Consider the following 10,765-nt stretch of genomic DNA (forward strand, 5'->3'; position numbering starts at 1 on the left):
TCACAGCCACCCAACACTGCCCATGCCTACAGCACTGCATGCCCCCAACATAGCACCCCTTGCCCTACACCCACACACAGGTAGAATGTGGGGTCTTCAGGGTGTTGGAGGAAGGGAGGGGAGACTTGCAGAGGTGGGGGATCTGAGCCCCCATGCAAATATTCCCTACCCCCTGACCTCCCCCAACCTTTTACCCCTTCTGTGATCCCCAGACTGCAGGCGGCAGGATCCTCCACCCCAGCCCCCACCCCCACTGGCTTGCCTGAGCTGGGCGGCCCCGCGGTCTAAGCATTAGAGCGACCTACCTGTCTCATCTTGCCGGAAAACTGGGGATAATAACGCTTACCTCACAAGGAAGGTGTGGGGATTAATGACTTAATGCTGCTTAGCGCCCCTGTGGGTCTGCTGAGCCAGCCAAGGAGGGCCGGCTGCCCTGGGACCGGAGCCCAGCACTTGGGACTTCCGGGGCCCTGTAGGAGCCGGGGTCCTGGCGAGCACTCCCCAGGCCTCACCCCCGGCCCAACCAATCCATGGCCACTGAGTTTTCCAGCCCTGAGAGTTCGGTCAGTGCTGGCTCTGACTTTGGGGATTTTCTGAGGAATGTTTCATTCAGCCCCATCTAGAACATCCCTGGCGTTGGAGCAGCAGAATGCTAAGATGGGCTGGCTCAGTCTGGGAGCCATGAGCAGAGGGAGGAGGAGGCCTGCGGTGCTTCCACGCGGGGCCTGAGATGCTTGGAGCTCAGAGCAGGTGAGAGTCCAGATCCCCAACGTGGTGAGATTCTGGGGTCCAAGCTCAGCACCCCCTCCCATGGAACATCCTGCTGCATCTCAGCCACACATCTAGAGGGCAGGCGGCAGGAGGAAGCCCCTTCAGGATGACACAGCCCCCCATGGGGCCTCTGGCTTGTCTTCTATGGAAGAGTTGCTCCCCTGACCTGAGAGCCAGAAAATTACACTCGAGCAGCCGGCTCGGGGACCTCCGGGACCCTGGTGACCGCAGCAGGCCCAGCACCAGCATTCATCAGCTACTCCCAGGTGTTTGTCAGGTCAAAGGAGAACAAAGCTCCCACGAAAGAAAATCAGGTCTCCTAGACACACCCCACCCACCACCAGAGCATCTCTCCCCTCACCCTGCCCTTCCCATCGTGACCTGCAGGGTGGCCAGGGTCCCCCACCAGAACGCAGCTCATCCCTCAATGATCATCCACACACTAGGGGCTTAAACTATAGAAATGTATTTGCTCACAACTCTGCAGGCTGGAGGTCGATCCCAGGGGCTGCAGGGCTGGTTCCTGAGGCCTCCCTCCCTGGCTTATCAATGGCATCTTCTCCCTCTGTGTTCTCACCTCCTCTTTTTATAAGAACATACGTCTGTGTTCTCACCTCCTCTTTTTATAAGGACACCAGTCTGATTGTATCAGGGCCACCCTCATGACCTGGTTTTACCTTAGTCACCTCTGTAAAGACCCCATCTCCAAATACAGCCCCATTCCAAGGCCCTGGGGGTTGGAGCTCCCACACATGGACTTGGGGATTGATTCAGCCCACAGCAATCCCCAGCAGAGCCCTACACATCCTTCAAGGAGAGCAGGAAGTCCGCTTCCTCCATGGGGAGAGGCGCCCCTGCAGCCTCAGCAACGTCCGTTTAGACCTGCTGGGCATGAAAACGGTGGGGCTGGGTGCTGGGTGTCTAGGGAGGAATCAGGCAGCACACCCGCCCTTGAGGCCTCCATTCATCCCGGGCTATCTGTTAGCACACACTCCAGGTGCTGGACCACAGCGGTGAAGGACCTGCGGCCTCCACAGCAAGCTCTCCCGGATTGGCCTGCGACTCCGGGAGCACTGGGTCGCGTCCTACAGTTCTCAGAATCTCCCAGCCAGGGCCTGCGTGCGGGGCGTGCCCGGCTGGTTCTGTTGACCGAGGGTCAGCACGCAGGTGGGCAGGTGGCTTCCCAGCACCAAGAAGAGGTGAGTCCAGCAGGTCATCTGCCAGGTTACTGCAGCAACAGGAGGTGGAGGGGGACAGGGAAGGAGGCGAGGGAGGCGGCCGGTCCTCCATCTCTGCCGTCCACCCACCATGCCCTGGTAGGATCACAACATGGCCAGCGTGAGCCGGCCACCCTTCTGAGTGAGCATGTGTCCCGTGAGCCTGAGAAAGAGCCCCAGAGTCTCCCAGGCAGAGGCATGGGGTGCATAGGGATATGGGGTGGGCCAGTTTGCTCCTCAGACCAGAAGGGGTGCAGGATTCCCCCCGATCAGGATCTTGGAGAAAGGTGTGGACAGAGGAAGGGAGGGAGGGAGAAATGGCAGCTGCCCTGCAGTGGGTCCAGAAAACCCCCAGGCTGGGCTACATTCTGCCTTGGGAGGTGGAAGTCAGATTTGGGTGTTTTTTTTCTTTATTTGCCTTTCTTTCCTTTCCTTTTCTTTCTTTCTTTCTTTCTTTCTTTCTTTCTTTCTTTCTTTCTTTCTTTCTTTCTTTCTTCTTTCTTTCTTTCTTTCTCTTCTTCTTTCTTTTTTTTCTTTCTTCTTTCTTTCTTTTTTTTTAAATGAAGCCAAAGATTGAAATTGACCTTCAAATGAGAGCAGGCAGTTCCCAGAAGGTCCAGTTTCTTTTAAGTAATTTTGTTTTGGTGAAAAGAAACCAGCACTTATTACATACTGTCTTAGGAGGTGGGGTACCCACAGCTGTGCCCTAAGTCAGTGGCAGCTACCCAGAGACTCTGAAGATGGAGGCTTGGAGTAAAGCTCTGTCCTGACAGAGGATGGGCATTCTGTCTGTCTCCTTCTCAAGACCGTCTTTCCTTTGGGGGTGGAAAGTTATCAAATCAATCCTCCCCAAGCCAGGGTAGGTAATGAGACAGCAGGCAAAACTGCCTGGGGCACCCAGGCCTGGAACTGTGAGCAGAGAGATTTTTGTGTTCCCAGAGAAGCAGCAGCAAGGCTGAGACAGAACTCCAGCTCAGGTAGGAGGGAGCCTGCACCTGCAGGTGGTGCCAGCCGTGTCTCGGGCACAGACCCCTTCCTTCTGCTGGGAGGGCCCTCAACATCTGAGGGTCTTACAGTCAGGTGCCTGCTGTGGAGGTGAGCGTTCTGGAGTAATGAAGGCTTGCATTTATAGAGAACTCTCAGTTCTCATGCCAGATCCTGTGGGGGTTTGGAGAGGAGGCAGGGAAGGGTTAGTTGGCTATTAGCATTGAGGAAACTGAGTCACAGCCAGGTTAAAAGACTTCCCTGGGGCATGAAAGGATTACAGCTAGAGAATGGAGCTCAGATTTCCGGGCAGTGCGTCCTGTCCCGTGCACTGGTCCATGGCATGGCTGAAACACTTACAGAGGCTTCCAAAGGGCAGGGACAGTTTGGCACAAGGAGGACGGTAGTGGAAGCCACAGAGCACCCGAGAAACCACTGCTGGGGCAGGAAAGGGAACCCCATTTCCTGAGTCCCGCCCAGGGAGCTGCTGGGGGCCGGCTCACTAACCCAGGAGTGAGGTCATGCCGGCAGCATCACGGTTCTTATCTTTTCTCTCTGATCCAGGACCTGGCCTGTGGGTCCTTCTGAGAGGCTGCCCTCAAGAGCAGGTATGAGAGTGAGTGAGTGCACAGCCTGAATCCGGCTCAATGAAGACAAAGATGATGGTGAGAAAAGTGTCCATGAGCCCTTGGAGAAAACCCTCTCCAGCAAGAGGGACACCTTAGCCACCTGTGGCCTGGCCCGGATCACCTGAGCAGGCCACTGCCAGAGGCCGCGCGGGAGAGGACACGGCTGGCCTGGGCCCCACAGCCCTGCTGGGCGGCAGAGCTCCGGGTCACGGGCCTCACCAAGGTGGACAGAGACCGTCTTCCAGCAGACAGACCTGGTCCAGATGACCCGAGCAACTGGGTGCTAGTGCAAGCGTTACAGGAGGGAATGGGGGTGCGGAGCCCTGTGCGCCAGAAACCTTACAGAACCAGCTCCCGGGGGCCTGCGGATTCACCCCAAAGCCAATGAGGCCCTCCTGACCCAAGGGGAAATGGAGAAACTGAGGCAGGACGGAGCTGACTCCAACCACCCCCTACTTCTCTCTCTGTCTCTCTCACACATACACCACACACAGCACTCCCTCACACACACAAACCACACACACACCACAAACACCACATATACACCATGCATACATATGCCACACACACACACACCATGCACACATATACCACACACAGCACACACACACACAAACCACACACACATCATACACACATATACTACACACACCATATGCAAACTACACACACACACCACATAGACACCACACACATACAGACCACACACACACACAGACCACACACACACCACACACAGACATAAGATGACACTTAGACACACACACTCACTTGTACAAACAGAAGTGGGCGTCCACAGTGTGGGGCTGTATTTTCTTTTCCTTTCTAGGAAGGGGATGCGGCTAATTTGTGTGTGTCTTCCCAGCGGCCTGCAGGCACCCCACCCGTTACCCCCACCGCCCCCCACCCCCTGCTGTCCTCCCCAGGGCCGGGGCCACCACAGGAAGCCAGCCCATGCGGAAGCCATGGAGAGCAGGAGCGGTGGGGCACCGGGCAGCGAACAGACGGGATCAAGAGGCTGAGCGTGTGACCCCAGGGAAGACAGTTCACATCAGCTGTGCCTCAGTCTCCCAGGCACCGAAGTGATGGTCAGGCCTGACTGCGGCTGGTGATGCCACCCCCGTGCTGAGGGGCAGAGCCCCTGGGGCAGGCCCACTGCAGGTCCACAGCGAGACGGGGAGATGCGCCCGGCCAGCCTGTGGGGACAGAAGCAAGAGCGGGAGGACAGCAGGGCCGGCGGTTCATGGCCATAGACGGGACAAAACAGCCTCAAACAAAATGGGTGTGGCTGACAGAGATACTGGACACAGGAGTCCTCGAGTCCAGAGCCTACACCTGCCAAATGCCCAGCTCACTGGGCACCACAGACATGATGAGGACACCACTTCTCATGCTAAAAATCAGCAATGGAAGGAAGTCATGAAACCGTCTTCTGTTCTTCCATAGACAGTCTCTTGCAGGGTTAAAACATAGCCCAAGTTGCTGTAGGTCAGTTCTTCCTACAGGGAATTCAAGCTGATCAATATGGAAGAAATTACAGAATTAGAAAACCCCATTTTGCAAAATAATTGAGATGCAATGAGCCTCAGCAGGTGGCATCGTTGGGTGACAGTTGGTGAGAAGGGCAGCTCTCCCTGCTGCCCTGGCACCTGCACTGCAGGTCTGCCTCTGCCATGGTCTCGCCTGATAAAGTGAACAGGAGGCACAAGTCCCCACTGGAACACTGGCTACCTCTGAAAGAAGGCCAGCAATCAGCCGTTCCTCCTTTTCCTATCACTAAAGCTTCTCTTCCAAGGACAACACGAGGAGCTCCCTGGAAAAACCAAAGGCACCCAGACACAGTGGCTGGGAGCAGGGGAGCCCCTTTAGTCTTGGTGGGTTTGGCGGGAGGAGCATTTGACGCTGCCACTTCTTCTGCCCAGTGGGTGAACCAGCGGCTGTGCTGTGGCCTGAGTCCAGGCCAGAAAGATGTAGAAAGCTATGAGGGCACTAGTTGGCAAGGTCAGTGGGAAGCAGCTGGAAATGACAAGTTGGGCGCTGGGAGATTTGTTCAGAATGTGGAGACTGAGCTGTGCCAACAGAGTGCGTGTAGAGAGGTGCCTGACCACGCTGCCGCAACGGGGTCCTTCTGTATTTCATGGTGTGGCTCTAATTCTCTCAGCATTTAGCAATGCATTTTTATATTCGTAATAAGACCTTTGGGCCACGGTGAGCTAAAAAATAAAATGAAAGTGCATGTGAAATAAGAAGTTAACTTATTGGATTTCTGTTCCTCCAGAAAGTTGATTATGATGTCTACTTACACAAAATGTTTGTGAACATTTACCATTTGCGGTAAATGCAGTGACATCACCAAGCACATGAAAAGCAGAAGAAACAGCAGCATCAACCTCAAAAGCTGGTAACTCTTTTCAGGCAGCCAAAGACAGTGACTGACGCCTGCAGCCGTGTCACTCGGGGACTTTTCTTGTAGATCAAATGTCAGTGCTCATTAATTTCCTTCTTTGTCAACTTTGAGTTTTCTTATGAATTTACTCGATGACGTGATAGCTGTTATTGTGTTACCTCCATGAGCCCAATTTCACAAGACAGTTAAGTGATATGGATGTAATATGTGTATTATCAGATGCTTCCAACAGAAAAGCTCATTCAGTTAATTTGAATAATGACTTAATTTTTATTCAAATCATTAAATAAATGTAAAGCTTTTATTAAAAACAATTATTATTGTTTTAATTATTAGCAATTATTAAAAGCAAGTTTGCAAACAGAAAGACTATTTAAATTTCTTACCACAAAAGAAAGAGAGAAACTGAATAAAACGCATAATGTCTACCCAAATAGTGTATGAGAATAACTTTGGAATTCTAAAATTGCTTCTTGGAGCATCTCAATTTATGAAACAGATTTTTGCTAGAGCTCATATTTTAATAGTATGTATGTTTATTATATATGAGAATGGAATGAAATTGAAAAGGCCTGTGATTTTTAGCACATAAATTTGATAAAACATTCAAAGGAATTATACATGAAAAAAGCCTATTTGACTCATTTTGCCCTATAAAGACATTTATGAAAGACTTTGGATTGAACTCAGAACACAGGACCTGTGACAATATCTGGGTGAAATATTGACCTTTTCATTAGAAAATACTGAGACTGTCTTCCCCTGAGCAGAGTCAGCTCAGATCTTACCTCTACAGCTGCTCATTCATCTGACAACCTCAGGGTCTACAGAGAAGATTCCACTTAGCTGGTCGGCAAACTCAAATTCATTAGCCACAAAAATGTCTTCTTGGAGAGGATTCCAGGCAATTTTATGAAAGATTAAAATAAGGCAATTCTGAAAATAGCACATTCTTCTGAAAAATGCCACTAATGGCAATAGAAACAAATAAGGCTTAAAAACTGATTGAAGAATGTGAATAGGTATCAAGAAAAATTATTCAGGCCGGGCACGATGGCTCACGCCTGTAATTCCAGGACTTTAGGAGGCCAAGGTGGGAGATCTCTTGAACCCAGGAGTTTGAGACCAGCCTGGGCCACATAGGGAGACACTATCTCTATAAAAATAAAAATGAAAAAATTAGCTGGGCATAGTGGTGCATGCCTGTGGTCCCAGCTACTCGGGAGGCTGAGATGACAGAATTGCTTGAGCCTGAGAAGTCAAGGCTGCAGGGAGCTGAGATCACGCCCCTGCACTCTAGCCTGGGCGACAGAGCTGGACTATGTCTCAAAAAAAAAAAATAATAATAATTATGCTTGTAATTGCTTTTTAATATCCAGATAATCAATACAACAAAGAAGGCATTTGTTTTTTGCTTTAATGTAAACATATGTTATTTTTTACTTTTTGAAAGAGCATTTAATTTTTTCTCTCCAATTACAATTTTCACTTTACTAGAAACAAAAATTACACACCCCTAGAGTATTTTCCCCTTGTCCTTATATACCAAGATATTTCAGTGGAAATTTATTTTTCTTCAGCTTCATTGAGTTATAATTTATATCCAACAAAATCCACCTATTTTAATTTAGCAATTGGTAGCTGTAGTGTAACCATCACCACAATCAAGAAATAGAACATTTTCATCACTCTAAAAAGTTTTCTTTTGACCCTCCCCTGAGCCCTGACCCCAATTACTAATAATCTCGAAAGCATCGAAAGCATCTTTTAAACAACGTAATTGAGGTATAATTGCCATATAATAAACTATACATGTTTAAAGTGTGCAACTCACATGTGTTGACACATGTGCAAGTCTTGAACATGTGCTCAAGATGTTCAGCATCAACAACAAGATAGTCAGCATATGCCTCCTTCCATTGTGTGGTTATACTGCAGTTCCTTTATCCATCTCACCCATTGATGGACATTTGGGTTTTTTCTATTTGTAGCTATTACAAATAAAGCTGCTATGACTTTTGCTTATTTATGCAAAAGTCTTCACTTGGGCACAGACTTTTCTCTTGGATAAATACCTCGGAGCAGAACAATGGGGTCATGTGGTAGCTGTGTGTTTAATTGTCAAGAAACCGTCAGTTTTCTTTTTTCTTTCTTTTTTTTCTTTTTTTTTTGAGACAGAGTCTGGCACTCTCGCCTGGGCTGGAGTGCAGTGGCGCCATCTCGGCTCACTGCAGGCTCCGCCTCCCGGGTTCACGCCATTCTCCTGCCTCAGCCTCCCGAGTAGCTGGGACTGTTTTCTAAAGCGGTTGTACCATTTTACATTCCTAACCACAGGGTGTGAGAGTTCTGGTCTCTACACATCCTCGCCAACACTTGGTGTGGGAGCTCTTCTTGCAGTTATTCTAAGCTGCTTGTAGTAATAGCCACTGTAGTCTTAATTTGTGTTTCCTTAATGACTGATGCTGCTGAATCTCTTTTCATGTGCTATTTACCATTTCTATATGGTGGGTGAAGTATCTATTCTTTTCTCTTTTTTTTATTTTTATTTTTTGAGACGGAGTCTCACTCTGTCACCCAGGCTGGAGTGCAATGGCGCGATCTTGTCTCACTGCAACCTCTGCCTCCTGGGTTCAAGTGATTCTCCTGCCTCAGTCTCCTGAGTAGCTGGGATTACAGGCACCTGCCACCATGCCCGGCTAATTTTTGTATTTTTAGTAGAGATAGGGGTTCATCATGTTAGTCATGCTGGTCTCAAACTCCTGACCTCAGGTGATCCACCCACCTCAGCCCCTCAAAGTGCTGGGATTACAGGTGTGAGCCACTGTGCCTGGCCTATTCTCTTCTTTTTTTAAAAAATTAGGTTCTTTGTTTTCTTACTGTTGAGTTTCAAGCAATCTTTATCTATATGGCTACAAGTCATTTATCAGATGGGTGATTTGCAAGTATTTTCTCCTGTGGTTTGTCTTTTCATTCATTTATCAATGTCTTTCAAAAGCAGAAGAACCTCTTCACTTTGACAAAGTCCAATTTATGGTTTTAGTTTTTGTTTTTAAACATCGAATACTTTTGATGTTGTCTCTAAGAAATCTTTGCTGGCCGGGTACCATGGCTCACGTCTAGAATCCCAACACTTTGGGAGGCCGAGGCAGGAGGATGGCTTGAGCCCAAGAATACCAGCCTGGGCAAAAGGGCGAAACCCCATCTCTACAAAAAATACAAAAGAAATTAGCTCGGTGTGGTGGCAAGACCATGAGGGAGGGGCCGTAGGGAGACGCAGGGGCATAATGGCAAGTGGTTAATTCTAGCAGCCTAAGAGGTAAAGTAAACAGGAAACCGTTGAGGTGGTGTTCAGGGCCACAGGAGAGACTGGAACACTGGCCAAATGCTTGGCTCTGTTAGAGTGAGCAGAATAAAAGCAGGCCGGAAAAAGCAAGTCAGAACTTTGGCGATTTCTGTCACTATCAGGAGGCACTGGACTGCAAGTCACAGAATAAACTCATCCACCGTGACTTAAACACGTAGGGACTGTCCTTCTCCCATCACAAGAAGACTAGAGCCATGTCTCTGCTGGGGGCTTCTGAGGTTCACGTTGTCAGAGCCAGGATGTCAGCAGTTCTTGGATCTTTTGTCAAGGCCATCTCTGAGTCACCTCTGTCTGCAGGGGACTGTGGGATGGTGAGTGTTTAGCTCTCCATCCTCTGGATGGAAGCAGGCAGGGGAGAAGAAGGTTGGGGAGGGTGCTGGGTTAGCCACCCATGTCCACCCTGAGCATGCTGGGGGCCAGGCACGCAGCTTCTGCAAGACAAGCGTGGTCCCGAGCCCACCTGGAAATCTGGGAGCTGGCAAGTGTTCCCTGAATTCCTGCCTCCCTGCTTCTCCATCGGCAGCATTGCTCACCGCATTCTTGTTGTAACCTGTCTCGGCTGTGAGCTCTGGGCGTTTGCTTCCTTCCTGGGTAGCTGCCAGTCTGAATTATTTATGAACCTAAGGTACACACTGATGGCATTCCAACAAAGGCCACCAAAGGGAGCAGCCTGTCTGTAACCCTGAAGCTTAGCACACAGCGAAAAGGACTCAGATAAAACTGTAAGCTTCCTCTGCAGGGAAGAGGAAGGACTGGACTTCTCCAGGGCAGGCGGAGGCACCAGAAGCAAACCTGTTCCTGCTTCCCTCCGTTTTCCAGGTGCCTTAGGGTGACTGCGGTAACTGGGAGCTGAGCACTGATGGGCAATGGGGCAAGAACTGGGCCATGTGCCTCGGGGTCCCAGCACACAGGCCAGCCCCTGAGGGTAGGAACGAGAGCCCAGACTCTGGAGGCAGGCAGACCAGGGTTTATGCCCTGGCAATTCCTGATGGGGCCGAGGATCTTCACCTCTTTGTGCTTCAGTTTCTCTATCTGGCCAGTGGGGTTGCTGTGAGGATTAAATGCAGCCGTCCCTGTGTGGTAGATTGTTTGCAACAACAACAAAAAAATGGCCACAATTGTTCCACTCCCTGAGTTCACACCCCCTTGCAATGTGACTTAACAGCAACTCTCACGGAGAGGCGGAGTCTCTTCCACACCCTGGAATCTGGGCGGGCCTGTGACTCACGATGGCCAATAGAATGCCCTGCAAGTGACGTCATGCCCTTCCGAGCCTTGCAGCTTCTGCTGGTGGGAAGGCCGATGGCAGAGCCCAGGGAAGTTATGTAACGGGCCCAGCTAATGAGTGGCAGAGGCCAGAGGGCTTGGCCTGCAGAACTGTCTAAGGCCAGAG

At 50.2% G+C, this 10,765-nt stretch overlaps 1 long non-coding RNA gene across 2 annotated transcripts, besides 1 other annotated feature; it reads left to right on the top strand.

The window, feature by feature from the left end:
• Window positions 1-416: 416 nt before the first annotated feature.
• Window positions 417-4,124, top strand: LOC105372813 (uncharacterized). Of its 2 annotated transcripts, none has more exons than XR_937742.2 (3): window positions 417-750; window positions 1,757-1,970; window positions 3,537-4,124. It is a non-coding gene; the product is annotated as an uncharacterized LOC105372813 (long non-coding RNA). The 2 variants fall into 2 exon arrangements; XR_937743.2 differs by lacking the exon at window positions 417-750 and adding an exon at window positions 777-1,037.
• Window positions 10,616-10,765: an enhancer, noted in NCBI's record as "active region_18484". NCBI's record gives its function as "activates an Ori minimal core promoter by ATAC-STARR-seq in GM12878 lymphoblastoid cells {active_cell/tissue: GM12878}" and the evidence as "EXISTENCE:reporter gene assay evidence [ECO:0000049][PMID:35858748]".

This window comes from Homo sapiens, chromosome 21, assembly GCF_000001405.40.
Source record: "Homo sapiens chromosome 21, GRCh38.p14 Primary Assembly".
Lineage (NCBI taxonomy): Eukaryota > Metazoa > Chordata > Mammalia > Primates > Hominidae > Homo > Homo sapiens.